General features: G+C 38.8%; 1 long non-coding RNA gene across 3 annotated transcripts in view; it reads right to left on the reverse strand.

The window, feature by feature from the left end:
* PIWIL4-AS1 (PIWIL4 antisense RNA 1) overlaps positions 1 to 18,496 on the reverse strand; it is a 195,024-nt gene that overhangs the window by 135,254 nt on the left and 41,274 nt on the right. For 2 of the 3 annotated variants that reach the window (NR_135093.1, NR_135096.1), the window contains exon 2: positions 15,236 to 15,322. The exons of the other annotated variant lie outside the window; for it this stretch is intronic. This is a non-coding gene — a long non-coding RNA (PIWIL4 antisense RNA 1). The remainder of the gene's footprint in view (positions 1 to 15,235; positions 15,323 to 18,496) is intronic. 3 annotated transcript variants of the gene reach the window in all.

Here is an 18,496-nt window from a genome sequence, read left to right on the forward strand (position 1 = left end):
AATTATTTGTCATAAGAAAATTAGTTCAATTGCCCAAGCTAGAAGCCCAGGAGTCATACTTAACTCCTCTCTGTCTCACATTCATCAAGGCCAGTAAGACAGGTCTAACGCCCAAATATCTCTCATATCTGTCCCCTTTTCAAGTTCTCTTCACTAATCAAGCCATTATAATATGCAATATATATTGCAATACTAGCCTCTTTATTCAACGAAGACATGCATGCCTGACAATTAGAGTTCATCATGTGAGATAACCAGTGTTTCCAGAAGGAACCAAACAATGAGGTTCTGAGCACCATTGCCCTTGGTAAATGTATCATTTCAAATAGATGGTTAAAGCTACCGGGCATGGCTTGGAGATCCCCTTAACTTGTGATACAAGAAACCCTTCATGATCTGGCCCCTGTCACTCTCTGTGGTAATTTGCACATTTATCAAACAGAAGTATTTGCTGTTTTTTAGACAATCCATGCTCTCTCTTTCTCTCTTTGCATATGCTATTTCCTCTGCCTGATACCTTTCATCTTTTCATCTGGGAAAACACTAATAGCCCTTTGGGCTCAGCTGAAGTGTCCCTTCCTCTGGGAAGCCCACTTTGGCTTCACCTACCCCCACATCAAGAATAGATTAGGTGTGCCTCTACTAACCTCCTGGGACATCCTTTTAATTCTTTCATAGCACTTGTCACACTCAGTGCCATCAGCTCTCTACTTGTCAGTCTCTCTCACTGTAGATGATGAGTGTTTTGAGGACAAAGACATCTTAACAACCCTTTGTGTACCTGCACTCAGAGCCATGCCAAACACATGAACAAGTGATGTCAACATGTCTCATTAAATGACTGAACTTTGTGGGGAGCATATCAGGTCTTCTAGAGTTCCTGCAAAGGGCTGTCTTTGTGAACTGTGTTAGAGCCTCTGCCGATTTTTTTTTTTTTTTTTTTTTTTTTTTTTTTGAGATAGAGTCTCGCCCTGTCACCCAGGCTGGAGTGCAGTGGTGCGATCTTGGCTCACTGCAACTTCTGCCTCCCGGGTTGAAGCGATTCTCCTGCCTCAGCCTCCGGAGTTGCTGGGATTACAGGTGCACGCTGCCATGCCTGGTTAATTTTTTTTATCTTTAATAGAGACGGGGTTTCACCATGTTGGCCAGGCTGGTCTTGAACTCCTGACCTCATGATCCACCCACCTCGGCTTCCCAAAGTGCTGCAATTACAGGCATGAGCCACTGCGCCTGGCCACCTTTGCTGATTTTTATAACCAGGGTTCAGTGGGCAACAGCAACCAAGTGTCAGTTTACAGCCAAATCAGGGATTGGACTGACTCAAGGCTGCAGTTCAGTATTTGTAAAACTAGGTCTATTTCTGATTTGTCCCTATGATTGGGAATAGCTCTTGATTTGGCAAGTGAAAGCCTAGGTGTTTTCTAGATTACCTCCTGCTCAGCATGGTGAGATTGTGGAAGCTCTGCTTAAGCCAGCTTCTTATCAAATGCTTTCTGCTTGGTTTAGCAGCCTGACTACGTGCTACTTATGCATAGATAAATGTTTTGAGAAGAAAAATATCTCCTATTATTATACTCACTTCTTTGTGCTGCCTTCTCTCTTAATCCCTCTCTCCTTTGGTAACCCTAAGCTCCAATTATGCCCAAACCTCTGCTTAGCCACCACTTTCTGCTTGGCATTTTAATGTCTCATCCTAAACTGATTATAAGCCAGCAAATTCCTTGAGAAGGAAAGGAGCATAGAATGTCAGGCTAGGCTCACCTCAGTGAGTTTCCTTTTCTCTCAGACACCTTACTTGGCCCCTCAAGTCCTGGCTTCCATTGGTAACACTCTAATGCTTTCAACCATTCTTAAAATTAAGCTTTTCTGTTGTTTGTTTGTTAGTAGGAGGTTTGGTCTGTTGTAAATTAGTCTGATGCAACTGACACAGCTGAAAGTAAAGTCAGTTGTTTCTCTTAAAAAATCCACATAATGGCCAGGCGCGGTGGCTCACGCCTGTAATCCCAGCACTTTGGGAGGCCGAGGCAGGTGGATCACAAGGTCAGGAGATCAAGACCATCCTGGCTAACATGGTGAAACCCTGTCTCTACTAAAAACACAAAAAATTAGCTGGGCGTGGTGGCCGGTGCCTGTAGTCCCAGCGACTCGGGAGGCTGAAGCAGGAGAATGGCGTGAACCCAGGAGGCGGAGCTTGCAGTGAGCCAAGATCGCGCCACTGCACTCCAGCCTGGGTGACAGAGCAAGACTCCATCTCAAAAAAAAAAAAAAAATTTCCACATAAAGGTTTTTACCTAAAGAGAAATTCTAGTTAGGTCTTAAGATGATAAAAATGCCGCTGAATCACATAGTAAAGGTTCAGTATGAAGCAAATTCAGTCATATACACTTAGGGTTAGAGAGGGAGAACAACCATTTAAATATTATGGGAAAATCTTCTAACCACTCTATTTAATGAAGATATGCTTCTGATTATCAGATAGGAGACATAAATCTTTTGTTCCCTCAGTCAGTTTCAGTGCAAACTACTTGCCATGCTGAATGTGATTCTAGAATAAAAAAAGACAGAACAATGTTTACACAACATGACCCCTACAAGCCAGTTGTTTCATCTTGTGTTTTACTTCTGTACAGTTTGTAACTGTTGGCTTGGACTTAATGAAAATGGTATTTCAATTTCCAACATGATACCTTTATAAAAGAGTTTCCATGCTATTTTGAATTCTATGCAATTTTCACCTTGCACGCTAACTCTCAAGGTCTATATGTGTGTCCATGTAACTCTACCCATGGGGCACCCATTTTTCTGCTCTAATTACCTTGCAATCCCTCTGCTGAAGCAAAGAACTTTTATGGGAGAAGGGTCATCATGCCCTTCTATGAAGAGTATGATATGAGAGCCACCCTCAGGAATAAAAGGAGAGGACAAAAATCCAAAGGCATTTTCTGTTTCCATGTCAACATGGAGCCAGAGGCTGAGAAAAACAACTGAAAGACACCTTAATTTTTGTTAATCTCTCACATTTATCTTTTTGATGTTTTCTGCCTGCTTTCATTGGGTGATTAAAATTTTTAAAGGCCTCTCTGGATGAAAGGAGAAACTCAAGGTTTGGGTAGTAGCAGTTCTGAAGAGCATCAGTAGCAAACTGAGTGTCTGGGGCCTGTAAGGAGAAAGGAAAAGAAGGAAACCTCAGCAGTAAGCCTGGGCTTCATCAGGTGGTACCTTGATATCTGTGCATTTATATTATAATCCTATAAATATGTACTTAAAAATAAAATTTGATAAGCTGTTTCAAATGGGAGCAACAACTTTATGCCTGTTATAAGAGAAATTTTGCTTTTCTCTTGAGAGGGAGGCAGGAGAAAAATGACAGAATCATGGAGGGATGGGTAGGGGAGATGGTGAGAAAGAGCCAGCAAGGTGGAGAGAGGATAGGACAACATAACTGGAAGGACCTCTGCTACTCCATGTGAAGGTTTGCTGAAGATCATGTTTGGTAGTATTCCCTTGAAAGCTCTTGTATTAGTTTGCTAAATCTGCCATAACAAAGTGCCACAAACTGGGTGGTTTAAACAATAGAACTTTATTTTATTGTCAGGACGTGACATCAGTAAGACGGCAAAATAGGAGTTCACTCACTCATATTCCCTAATAACAGCTAGAATTCTGCACCCATTCACGGACAAAAGTCTCCTTGTGGGAGCCTTGCAATTTAGTTACAGCCTACCTCAGCCATAGACTAGGGCAGTAAAGTAAAGAACCATCCAGTCATCCAATGGGAGGCTTCCCAGAGGTCTGCAGGAAGCTACACCCATCAGCACACCTGGTAATAGGCCCACTGGCTGTGAATCCTGAAATGGAGCCTCACCTTAGCACCAGCCCCAAAGACCAAGCTCCTGGAGCCAGTCCAGGCCACCCAGGGGACAGACCTACCAACTGTGATCTCCACTATAAAACTAGCATCAGTCATGTGACTCAGGCCCAACCCAACTCAACCACTATCCCAGAGGCAATCTCATCAGCCCAGAGACATAACAGAAAACAAATTTAACTTGCCAAAACTAGTCTGTAAAAACTGAAAGAAGAGTTCACTTTGATTGCACAGACACCAGTGCAAAGATACATGGATATCAAAGAATCAGACATATACAACACCACCAAAGGAACTTCATAAAGCTTCAATAACAGACCCCAAAGAAATGGATATACACACATTGTTTGAAAAATAATTCAAAACAATCATCTTAAAGAAGCTCAATGAGGCTGGATGCAGTGGCTAATGCCTGTAATCCCAGCACTTTGGGAGGCTGAGATGGGAGGATAACTTGAGCCCAGGAGATTGAAACCAGCCTGAGCAACATAGGGAGACCCCATCTCTACAAAAACTACAAAAATTAGCCTGGTATAGTGGTGCCTGTAATCCTAACTACCTGGGAGGCTGAGGTGGGAGGATCATTTGAACCTGAAAGTTCAAGGCTGCAGTGATCCTCGATTGAGCCACTGCACTCCAACCTGGGTGACAGACTGAGACCCTATCTCAAGAAAAAAAAAAAAAAAAAAAAAGAGAGATGCAAGAAACTATAGACAATTAAATAAAATTAGAAAAATAATTCATGAACAAAGGGAAAGGTTGAAAGGTTTAATAAAGAAATAGAAAATATAAGAAGAACCAAATAGAAATCCTGGAGCAAAATAATTTAATTAAGAACTGAAAAATTCAATTCAGAGTTTCAACAACAGACTTGCTTATGCAGAAGAAAGAATTAGTGAACTCGGCCAGGCACGGTGGCTCATGCCTGTAATCCCAGCACTTTGGGAGGCCGAGGCAGGTGGATCATAAGGTCAGGAGATCGAGACCATCCTGGCTAACATGGTGAAACCCCGTCTCTACTAAAAAATACAAAAAATTAGTTGGGTGTGGTGGCGGGCGCCTGTAGCCACAGCTACTCGAGATGCTGAGGCAGGAGAATGGCATGAACCCAGGAGGCAGAGCTTGCAGTAAGCCAAGATCGAGCCACTGCACTCCAGCCTGGGTGACAGAGCAAGACTCTGTCTCAAAAAAAAGAAGAATTAGTGAACTCAAGTACAGGTCACTTGGAATTAACCCATTAGAGGAATAAAAAGAAAAGGAAAACATTGAAAAAGAGTGAAGAAAGCATAAGGGATCTACCCAACACCATCAAACATTTGAGTATACAAATTATGAGATTACTCAAAGAAGAAGAGTGAGGAAAAGGGACGGAAAACTTATTTAAAGAAATACTGCCTGAGAGGCCAGGTGTGACGGCTCACACCTGTAATCCCAGGAATTTGGGATGCTCAGGTGGGAAGATTGCTTGAGGCTAGGAGTTCAAGACCAGCACAGGAAACATAGCAAAAAATTACAAACAAATAATGAAAGAATATTTAAATAATAATGATAATAAAAGAAATCCTATTGGAAAAGCTTCAAAATCTTGGGAGGGACATATACATACAGACTCGGTAAGCTCAAAGGACCCCAAACAAGATAAATTAAGAAAATAACACTCTGAGATACATTATAATCAAATTGTCAAAAGTCAAAGACAGATAATCTTGAAAGTAGCAAAGGAGAAGAAATTCATTACGTATAAAATATCCACCATAAAGCTATCCAGATTTTTCATCAGAAACCTTGCAAGCCAGAGGGAGTGGAATGACATATTCAAAGTGCTAAAAGAAAAACAATGCCAACCAAGAATGCTATACCTAGCAAATCTATCCCTCAGAAGTGAAGGAGAGACAAAGAAATTCCAAGACAAACAAAAGTGGAAGGAGTTCATCACCATGAGTCCGCCCTTACAAGAAATGCTAAAGAAAGTTTTTTGAGTTAAAGCAAAAGAATAGGTAGCAATATGAAAATATATGAAAGCATAAAACTCACTAGTAAAGGTAAATACATATAAAATTTAGAATACTCCAATACTGTGAAGGTATTGTGTAAATCCCTCTTAACTCTAGGATAAGAGTTAAAGAGACAAATGCATGAAAAACAGTGATAAACTTCTGATTAATAGATACACAATAAAATAGAGATAAATGGCATCAATAGTATAAAATGTAAGGGAGAGAAGTAAAAGTTTAGAGTCTTTGCATGTGATTGAAGCTAAGGTACTATCAGCTTAAATTAGGATATTATAATTATAAGATATTTTGTATAATCCTCATGACAACAATGAAGAAAAAAACCTCTTGGCTCATGCCTGTAATCCCAGCACTTTGGAAAGCCTAGGCGGGTGGATCACCAGAGGCCAGGAGTTCAAGACCAGCCTGGCCAACATGGCGAAATCCTGTCTCCACTAAAAATACAAAAATTAGGCCAGGCGCAGTGGCTCACGCCTATAATCCCAGCACTTTGGGAGGCCAAGGCAGGCGGATAATGAGGTCAGAAGTTCGATACTAGCCTGGCCAACATGGTGAAACCCTAATCTCTACTAAAAATACAAAAATTAGCCAGACATGGAGGCGGGCGCCTGTAATCCCAGTTACTCGGGAGGCTGAAGCAGGACAATGGCTTGAACCTGGGAGGCGGAGGTTGCAGTGAGCCGAGATCGTGCCACTGCACTTCAGCCTGAGCAACAGAGCAAGACTCCATCTCAAAAAAACACAAACAACAACAACAACAAGCCTCCCTCACTCCCAAATTAGCCGGGCATAGTGGTACATGCCTGTAATCCCAGCTACTTGGGTGGCTGAGGCATGAGAATTGCTTGAACCTGGGAGGTGGAGGTTGCAGTGAGCCAAGGTCACACCACTGCACTCTAGCCTGGGTGACAGAGTGAGACTCTGTCTCAAAAAAACAAAAAAGAGGAAAGAAAGAAGAAAGAAAGAAACAAAGAAAGAAAGAAAGTAAGAAAGAAAGAAAAGAAAGAACCTCTGATGGACACACTAAAGATAAAGAAATCAAAGCATGCCACTACAAGAAAATACAAGAAATTACAAATAAGGACGACAAAATTGGAAGAGAAGAACAAAAGAACTACATAACAGTCAGTAAAATATTAACAAAATACCAGAAGTCCTTACCTATCAATAATTACTTTAAATGTAATGGATTAAATTCTCCAATAAAAAGAAATGGAGTAGATGAATGGATAAAATAAAAACCAAGATCCAACAATATGATACCTAGAAGAGACCCACTGTAGCCTGAAAAACATACTAAGACTGAGAGTAAGGATTGTAAAAAGATATTCCAGGCAAATGGTATCTAAAATAGAGCAGGGGTGGCTATGCTTATATTAGAAAAAGTCGACTTTAAGTAAAACACCGTATAAAGAGATAAAGAAGGTCTTTATATTATGATAGAGGTCAATACATCAAGAGGATATAACAATTTTAAAAATATATGCATCCAACATCAAAACACCTAAATACATGAAGGAAGTATTCATAGATCTGAAGGGTGAGATAGACTGCAACACAATGATAGTAGCAGACTTCCATAATCCACTTTCAACAATGTATAGGTCATCAACACAGAAAATCAATAAGAAAACAGAGTACCTGAACAACACCTTAGACCAAATAGACCTAACATATATGTATATAAAATATTCTATCCCAGAGCAACAAAATACACATTCTTCTCAAGCACAGAACATTCTCCAGAATAGATGATATGTTAGTGAGCAAAACAAGTCTTAGCAAATTTAAGAATATTAAAATCATATCAAGTATATTACCTAGCCACAATTGAGTGAAACTAGAAACCAGTTACAAAAGAACTTTTAGAAAACTCACAAATACACAGGAATTAAGCAATATGCTCCTGAATAACCAATGGGTTAAAGAAGAAATTCAAAGAGAAATAAAAAGCATTTTGAGACAAATGAAAATAGAAGCACAATGTATCAAAACTCATGGGAGGCAGCAAAAGCAGTTCTAAGAAGAAAGTTTACAGCAATAAATGCCTACATTGAAAAAGAAGGAAGATCTCAAATAAACAACTTACTTCCTTACACCTGAAGGAACTAGAAAAAAAGAAAAAATTAAACCTAAAATCAGTAGAAGAAAAGAAATAATAAAAATCAGAGCAGAAATAAATGAAATTGAGAGAAGACAATAGAAAAGATCGATGGAACTAAGAGATGATTCTTTGAAAAGTGAAACAAAATCAACAAACCTTTAACTAGACTAAGAAAAAATGAGAGAAAACTCAGTATCAGAACTTGAAAAAGGAGACATTACAACTGATATCACAAAAATACAAATGATTATAAGAAACTACCATGAACAATTAATTGTATGCCAACCAATTGGATAACCTAGAAGAAATGGATACATTCCTAAAAACATACAATCTACCAATACTAAATCAAGAAGAAATAGAAAATTGGAATAGATTAACAAGTGAGATGATTGAGTCAATAATTTAAAAAAAACCTCCCATCAAACAAAAGCCCAGAACCAGATGGTTTCACAGCAGAATTCTACCACCAAATATTTAAAGAAATAATACCAATCCTTCCAAAAAATAGAAGAAAAAATACTTCCCAACTAATTATCTGAGGCCAGTATTCCCCTGATACCAAAGCCAGACAAGGACACTACAAGGAAAGAAAATTACAGGCCAATGTCTACGATGAACATAGATGCAAGAATCTTCAAACTAGCAAACCAAATTCAGCAGCACATTAAAAGGTTAGTATACTATAATCAAGTGGGATTTATCCCTGGGATGCAAAAATAGTTCAACATATGCAAATCAATAAATGTGATACATTATACTAACAGAATGAAGGACAAAAACATATGATCATCTTGAGAAATGCAGAAAGTGAATATAACAAAATTCAACATCTTTTGATGATAAAAACTCTCAGCAAATTAGGTATAGAAGGAATATATCTCAGTACAATAAAGGATATATATGAAAAACCTACAGTTAACATGGTACTCAATCATAAAAAGTTGAAAGCTTGGCTGGGTGCGGTGGCTCATGCCTGTAATCCCAGCACTTTGGGAAGCCAAGGTGGGTGGATCACCTGAGGTCAGGAGTTTGAGACCAGCCTGACCAACATGGAGAAACCCCGTCTCTACTAAAAATACAAAAATTAGCCAGGCGTGGTGGCTCATGCCCATAATCCCAGCTACCTGGGAGGCTGAGGCAGGATGATTGCTTGAAGCCAGGAGGTGGAGGTTGCGGTGAGCTAAGATCACACCATTGCATTCCAGGCTGGGCAACAAGAGCAAAACTCCATCTCAAAAAAAAAAAAAAGTTGAAAGCTTTCCCTGTAAGATCAGGAACAAAACAAGGGTGCTCACTCTCACCACTTCCATTCAACATAGTACTGGAAGTTCTAGCCAGAAAAATTGGACAAGAAAAAGAAATTTAAAAAAGAAAAGCGAAATTGTTTGTTTGTGGATGACATGATCATATATAGAGAAAATTCTAAAGGCTCCACCAAAACATTGTTAGAACTGATAAACTAATTTCATAAAGTTGTAGGGCACAAAATTAACACAAAAAATCAGTAGTGTTTCTTTACTTTAACAATAAAATTATCTATAAAAAAATTAAGAAATCAATTTCATTCACAATAGCTTGAAAAAATACATAGGAATAAATTTATCCAAGGAGTTGAAAGATCTGTTTGTTGAGAAGTATAAAATATTTATGAAAGAATTTGAGGACAACACAAATAAGTTTTGTCTGTTCATGGTTTGGAATAGTTAGTATTGTTAATATGTCTACACTACCCAAAGTGATCTACAGATACAAGGCATTCCCTATTAAAATTCCAATGTCATTCTTCACAAAAATTTTAAAAAATACTGAAATTTGTATGGAATTGCAAAAGACCTTGAATAGCCAAAGCAATCTTGAACAACAACAACAACGACAACAAAAAAACAAAACAAAGCTGGAGGCATCACAATACCTCATGTCACAAAATCTATTCCAAAGCTATTGTAATGAAAATCGAATGGCACTGGCATTAAAAACAGAATCACTGACCAATGGAATGGGATAGGAAGCCTAGAAATAAACTCACATATTTATGGTTAATTGATTTTCATCAAAGTTGCCAAGAATACACAATGGAGAAATAACAATTTCTTCAATAAATGGTGTTGGGAAACAGGACGTCCACCGCAGAATAAAATTGAAACTTTTTTCACACTGTATTAAAAATCAACTTGAAATGTATTAAGTATTTAGACATAATACCTGACACTATAAAACTACCAAAAGAAAACATCGGGGAAATGCTCCACGACATTGGTCTGGGCAAAGATTTCTTGAATATGACCCCAAAACTACAGGCAGCAAAAGAAAAAATAGACAAATGAGATTGCATCAAACTAAAAAGATTTGGCACAACAAAGGATACAACTGATGGAGTGAAGAGACAACCCACGGATTAGGAGAAAATATTTGTAAACCATACATCAGATAAGATGCTAATATTCAAAATATATAAGGAACTCAAGCAACTCAATATCAAGAAGGCAAATAATTCAATCAAAAATAAGCAAAGAAGCTAAACAGACTCTTTTGAAAGAAGATATACCAATGGTTAACACATACATGAAAAAATTCTCATTATAATTAATCATCGGAGAAATGCAAATTAAAACCACAATGAGATATCACCTTGCACCTGTTAGAATGGCTATTAATGAAAAAGACAAAAGATAACAAGTGTTGGTGAGGATATTATATATACCACATTGGCCAAAGGAAACCTTGGCATTGTTAGTGGGAATGTAAACTAATACAACCATTATGGAAAAACAGTATGGAAGTTCCTCAGAAAACCAAACATAGAATTGCCATATGATCCAGCAATCTCACTTCTGGGTATATATCCAAAGAAATTGAAATCAGTGTGCTGAAGAAATATCTGAACTCTCATGTACATTGCAGCATTATTTATAATAGCTAGGATATGGAAGCAACCTAGATGTCTATCATCAGGTGAATGGATAAAGAAAATGTAAGTACATACACACAATGAATATGGAATATTATTCAGCCTTAAAAAAGGGAGAAATCCTATTATTTGCAACAACATGGGTGAACCTGGAAAACATTATGCTAAGTGAAATAAGCCAGGCACAGAAAGACAAATACTACATGATATCACTTATATGTGGAATCTAAAAATACTGAATTCATCTAAGGGGAGAGTAGAATGATGGTTACCAGAGGCTGGGGGAGAAGGGTGGTTGGGAAAAGGGGAAATGTTGATCAAAGCGTAGAAAGTTTCAGTTAGACATAAGGAATAAGCTTTAGTAATCAATTGCATGGAATGCTGACTATAATAAATAATAATATATTGTGGATTTCAAAACTGCTGAAAGAGTAGATTTTAAATATTTTCACCACAAAAAAATGATAAGTATGTGAGGAATAGAATTAGCCTGCTTTAATTATTTCATACCAAACATAGATCAAAACATCACGTTTTGCCCCATATATATATACACAATTATTATGTATCAATGAAAAATAAAACTAAAAAAAGAAATTTATTATCTCTTGGTTCTGGAGGTTAGAAGTCAAAGGCCAAGGTGTCAGACCAAGGTGTCATCAGGGCTGGTTCCTTCTGAGGACTGTGAGAAAGAATCTCTTCCCCTCACTTCTGGTGGTTTGCTGGAAATCACACACTCTCTGTGTTCTAGAAGCATCCCTCTGATCTCTGCCTGCATCTTCCATGGTATTCTCCCTGTGTGCATGTCTGCCTCCACATTTCCCCTTTTGACAAGGACACTAGTCTTATTGGATTAGGGCCCACCCTAGTCACCTCCTTTTAACTTGTCTGCCTCTGTAAAGACCCTATTTCTACATAAAGTCATATTCTGAGGTGCTGAGACTTAGGATTCCAACACTTCTTTTTGTAGGGGGCACAAGTCAACACATAATAGCCCTACTCTCACTCCTTGCCAAAGAGCAAGGATCTGGGGGCTGGATTTTAGTGGAACTCCCATGGCTAGGGCCATATGTTGCAGCTAGAGAGAGCACGTGCACAAGCAGGAGCTCAGAGGACAATGGGCCCATGGACTAAGAAAACTTGAGGAAGTCCTCACATGTCCACTAGCCATTGACCAAATGGTGTTATAGAAAACATTTCAGAAAATCAATTTCAAAGCACATGTCAAAGTTTCATTATAGTCTTACTGCAAGTGAAAAGGCCACTAGAAGCCCAATTCAAAGATTCAATTTTGTCAGGGACATTTTATAGGACAAGAGAATGATGGATTATTATTAAGCTAAGATGCAAAAAGAAATGATTTTTTTTTTCCCGTAAACAATTGCCTAAACACTGAGACAATTGACTGACAGAGCAGGTGGGTGGGTGGATGATTAGATTCCCAGAACAAATCTTAATCTCATTAAACTTAATTAGAAAATTGATTAAGTGTTTTATCAGGAAAGCTCACTTCTTCTCAGAAGTAGAGTTTGAACTACATCAACTAAAAAGGTTCTGTCCTAGACTAGATTTAGAATGTCTTTTCTCTTACAGGGGTTCAAACCTTTTTGCCCCCTGCTGACATCTGGGCTCCATTCTAAGGATCCCATGTCCCAGTGGCATCTATTCCATAGAAGCACCACATAAGCACCTCCATAGGAGCAGCTCCTGTCCATCCTGTCCTCTCTCTCCAAGAAACGGGAACTGTTCTCCCTTTGCAAAACCCAGACTCCTTCTTTGGGCCCAGTATGATCACCCTCACCTTGTCTCAGAGAGATCTCTTCTTGACTCACTCCCCTCCATCCACATTGACTCCCTTTCTATTCTTCAGAACTGTCAAGTTCTTTTGTGTTTTGGGCTTTTGCACTTTCTTGTCCCTCTGCCTGCAGTGTTCTTCCACAGAGTCGGCTCCTTCTCACATTTGGGGCTCAGTTCAATGACACCTACTCACAGAGGCTTTCTCCAGCCAAATTACCTGTCTCGTTTTATCCTGCTTACTTCCTTCATGGCACTAAGCAGCACCCACCCATATGTTGTCACTTATTCATGCCCTTTTCTCTTGTCTGCATTTCCTACCAGATTGTTAGATGCATTGTTCATTCCATTGGCCAAATGGCCTGTAGCATATAGTAGACTCTCAATAAATTGTTGATGAATCTTGAAATGTTGAATTCATATATATTGGTGAACACTATAAATGTATGGGGGACCGTGGCTCAGAGAGTTGGGTAATTGACATAAGATCACACAACTTTAAGTGGTGGAATGAAGAAACTAATTTGACTCACTGCAAACCCTCTACTCTTCTCACTCTTTCTCTTTGTCTTGTTTATCTCTTAATCCTAGGAGTGCTCAACCCTTCTTTGTTGTTAGCTATCCTCATTCTGTGGGCCTGACCATGCAAGAGCTAGTTTACTTTGACCTAGAGGACACAAATCTCTTCTGATGCTTTAGGTCCCATGGGCAGCCCAGCTGGCTCTAAGATGATTGCCCTTCCTTCCAAAGCAACCAAGATGCTCACTGGGCAGCCCCAAAGCATCTCTTCTTCCCCACCTTAGAAGCCCTTCATTCCACACTTGTGCAACAATCATCAAACCTCCTCTGGGCCAGGTCTGTCCTAGGAGCTACGATGCTGTCCTTGCTTCTCCTAGTGAGGCTTTCTGTCTCTGCACTGCTCCATCTGATTTCCTTTTTAATTTCTCTAAACATAAATAAGTCAATAACATTTTCTATCTTTTCTCTTATCAGCCCTTTTCCTGCTGAATCTCAGATCCTGCTCACACCTGCCTATTCCTGTCCCTGGGTTAGGCAGAAAACAATCTATCCTAGCTCAGTACAAGCATTAGCATATCAAAAACTCCAGGTTACATTGTGGTTACTCCCATTCAGTACAGCACCTGAGACTCAAATCCCAACAGATGTTGAGGCAAATGGTTGCATATATTAAATTTCCATATAAGGAGCCTGGTGTGATACAGACACACAAGCCCTATAACAAAATCTCCCCAAACTTTCTCTCCAAACTCCAACCCAAAGGTACTGAGGAGGCAGGTTGGACTTGCCTGGCCTTGCCTTGTCTCAGATGCTAGTCCAGGACAAGTCTAAAATTAGCCACACCCCCTCCTGCTGCTAAAACTCAGCTGGAGCAGCAGCAGCACGGGGCCCAGCTACTTTTAGAAACCATTTCTTTGTGGCTTAGTGCTGAGCAACAGAAACAGGTGATGGAAACTGGGCCCGGAAAGAAAAGCTGGATCAAGTTTAGAAGCTGGAATCAGGATGCCAGATCCAGGGACCAGGGATGCAAATCCAGGCTGATGTGGTCATGGTCAGTCAAGGAGAAACAGCTCAGAAACAAGCCGGAATTGTCCATAGCTCTTATTACAATGCTGAGGTCAGGGGGAGGAGGTGAGGAGTGCAGAGACAGAAGGGAGCAGATATTTATTGGTACACACTGCGTGCCAGTTGACTTATATATGGCATCACATTGAGCCTCATTAGTAGGTACTATTATTTTGCCTCTTGTACCATTAACTAAATGGAGTGTCAGAGATGGTCAGCAACTTAGCTAATGTCATACAGCTAGTCAACGGCAAAGCAGGGATTCAAACCTTAGCCTATTTAACATAAAGCCTGACATTTTTCTCTATGTTGTCTCCAGGAGTAGCAGGGAAGGGGATTTCAAATGCACAACCCAGGAGAATGGCCCACCAATTCACATCATCAATATTTCTCACCTTGGATCAAATCCTAATCACCTGAGGAGCCTGGAAAAAGATACCAGTTTTTGGACCTCATCACCCAGAGGTTCTGAGTTAATTATTCTGGGGTGGGTCCTTGGAATAGCTATTTCACGATATTCACAGAGATTCTTTTGTGTGGCTCAGGTCAAGAATCACACTGTATGCTTTGTTGTTGTCCAACTCTCTTGGGCAAGCTGGAGAAGTAGGGTGGCCATAGATTTTTTTTTTTAATTTTTATTTATTTATTTATTTTTTGAGACAGAGTCTTGCTCTGTGGCCCAGGCTAGAGTGCAGTGGCGTAATCTCGGCTCACTGCAAGCTCCGCCTCCTGGGTTCACACCATTCTCCTGCCTCAGCCTCCCAAGTAGCTGTGACTACAGGCGCCCACCACCACTCCTGGCTAATTTTTTGTATTTTTTAGTAGAGATGGGGTTTCTCCGTGTTAGCCAGGATGGTCTCGATCTCCTGACCTCGTGATCCGCCCTCCTCGGCCTCCCAAAGTGCTGGGATTACAGGCATGAACCACCGTGCCCGGCCAGATATTTATACTTAACTCACCTGGGTTCCACAGCAGACAGACAGAACAACTGGCCAGTGACGGCACATTTCCACAGAGGCTTCTCTGGTTGAAGGTGGTCTCAAATTCTGAAATCAGGTAAGGAATTAAAACAGCATTCCCACAAACAAAGATCAGAGGCCAGGAACCTGGGATCTTGGGATTTTATAAAGAAGAAATGTTCAAAGAAGACAGGAATAGAATCAGTGCCACCTGTCATTCTAATGTGTCACTGTACCCCTTTCTCCAACCTGCTGCTAGAAACCTCTAAGAAAGAAAAGAGTCCCTCAGTGTGGCAGGTGGGGCTCCACCAAGATGAGCCCACCTCTGATTGCACTCAAAGGTGTCTGCCCTCAGAGGCTCAGCTCACAGCTTCCACACATTGGCACCTAATTTTGTATATTTGCTGTCCTTTTGTTTCTAATTGTTTCATGTTTAATTGCTTCAAGTACTGTCCTGTCTGAACTCTCTTGGAGGACAGGATCTGTGCCATGCAGGAGATAGAAACTGACATCTGAAAAAGCTCTGCTATCCTGGCTATTACATCTTTAGGTCCTCTTGAATGCATACCGGTGTCATCTTGGGAACTTTAAAAAACACAAATGTCTGTGTCCCAATCCCTGAGAATGTGATTTAATTAGTATGGGTTGTAGCATGAGCATGAGGACTTTTCAAAGCTCCTCACGTAGTTCTAATGTACACCTGAGGTTGAGAATGAAAATTTGAAGAATAACAAGGCACTATGTGGAAAAGATAACAATGGTATGTCTCAGAGGGAAAAAATGGGTTGGCTTGATTTATTTTTGCTAATTTGTATTCTCCATGTATCTATGTTGATTATTTAATTTTTAAAAGGGAAACTAAAACAAAAATTAGGCTGAATGAGGTATTCCTAAGCTGTCTACTTTTTCTGGGATAGATCACTGATGATAAACTATACTAAATTGGGATGGGTCCTGGTTAGACACTACTCTCACTCATTCACTATTTATTGAGTGACTACTATGTTCCACATGAGAGACACTGGGCATATAAGAGTGAATTTCACAAGCACAATCCCTTCATTTAGTGGGGAATATTAGCCATCAAACAAGCAAATATTGTACTCTTACTTCAAGGATATGTTCTAATAGGTACAAACTTCTGAGTATTATACATTGTTTTGTAAGTAACTATTACAAAAATTGCAACTATCTGGTCCTGTGCCCAAGGCAGGCAATACTTATTGATTATGTCACCCTTTTCTGCAGAAGCTCCATATCTTATTCAGCATTACTAGGAAAAGGGTGAGATGCAAGGTAATTCATAGCAAAAAGCTATAAATTATTTTGTAGAAGATAAACTAAGTGACTCAAAATGTAACTGGATATTTTGGTATGTCCATATAGCTCTTTTGAACCAAATCTCTTACAGATAACAACTATAAACTCTGGACAAAATATGAGACCAACTGGTTGAAGACACTGGAGAGAGAACAAAAGCAAGCAGAAACTAGAGGAGAAATAACAGTTGGGAGAAGAGTAAGTTTTATGAGGTGAGTTTTCTGATTTATAGCTTTTAGTCTAAGAACAGGACCCTGTGTGCAATATATAAGGCAGAGAAGAAGGCTTACATTTCATTTGTGTTCAGCCACATTAAAGTCCTAATTAAAGAAAAGTCAATACTCCTTAGGAGAGCATGATAGAATTCAGGCTTTCTACAACATATCATTCATCATAACAAGGATATGCTCCAAAATTATCCGACATATAACAAAACGGAAAACATGACTTGTTTAAGGAGAAAGAATAATTGACAGGGATCAACTCTAAGATGACCTACATGCTGGAATTAGCAGACAAGAATTTTTAAAAAGTCATTGTAACCATGCTCAAGTACATAAAAGAAAATGTGTTCACAATGAATATAGAAATATAGAATATGGAAAATCTTAGCAGAGATATAGAAACTATAAAAAAGAACCAATGAGAATACGAGAACTAAAAAAGACAATATCTAAAATAATAATTCAGTGGATGCTCTTGACAGCACAAGGGAGATGAAAGAATAAAGAGTCAATGGACTAGAAGATAGATCATTAGAAATGATCTGGATAGATCAGCACAAATGATCAGATTGAGAAACAGAGATTTAATATTAATAAATGTGCAAAAACTTAGGGATCTTTGCAGCAATACCAAAAGGTCTAATATGCATATAATTGAAGTTCCAAAAGGAGAGGAGAGAGAATGATCCAGAAACTAATTTAAGTAAATAAGGGGTGAAAAGTTCACACATTTGGTAAAAGACATACATGTGCAGATTCTAAAACCTCAAGAAACATCAAGAAAGATTAGTATCAAAAACAAAACAAAAATAAAAACACCTAGGCATATCATAGTCAAAGTGCTGCAAATAAATCACAAAAAGAAAATAATGAAAACAGTCAGAGAAAATGACATTGCCTGAATCATTTCAAAATCCACTAACAATTATTTCTTATCCACTGATACCTCATCAGAAACAATGGAGCCCAGAAGGCAGTGGATCAACATCTTTAAAGTGCTGAAAGAAAAATAGCCTATCAATCAAAATTTTATATCCAGTGAAAATGTCCTTGATGAATAAAGATTAAATAAGACAGCTTTAGAAAAATTTTTCACTTGCATGTCATGGAATGCAGGGTAAAGTAAAACAAAACCCAATAGAGACTCGATTACTCAGGAAAGAGTAAAATACATTCGATGGTAAATATGTGTAACTGTAAAGTATTATTATTCTGCTTAATTAACTTAAAATATGATTAGTTCAAGAACAAATATGACATTGTATTGTGTAGTTTATAGCACATGTAAAGAAGTACATATGATAAGGATAACATAAAGGATGAGGAGGGGGCAGTCAATGAACCAAATTGGTTGCAAGATTTCTACATATTTATGTGAAGTATACAATATTAACTCCCAGTAAACTATGAAAAATAGAAAATATATATACATATATATATATTTAATCCTTAAAAGCAACCACTAAAGATGTAATGCAAAGAAGTATACCTTAAAATCTCATAGATAATTAAAATGGAATTTTAAAATATACTTAATCCAAAAGAAGCCCACAGGGAAAAACAGAGAGACAAAAAGCCAAAGAAGCAAGCAGAAAACAAATAGTAAAGTTGGATTTAAGTCCAACCATATCTTGGACCTCAATCCAACCATGTCGGTAATCACATTAAGTGATAATTAATTAAACATACCAAATGAAAATAAAATATTATTAAAATG

Source organism: Homo sapiens, chromosome 11, assembly GCF_000001405.40.
Source record: "Homo sapiens chromosome 11, GRCh38.p14 Primary Assembly".
Lineage (NCBI taxonomy): Eukaryota > Metazoa > Chordata > Mammalia > Primates > Hominidae > Homo > Homo sapiens.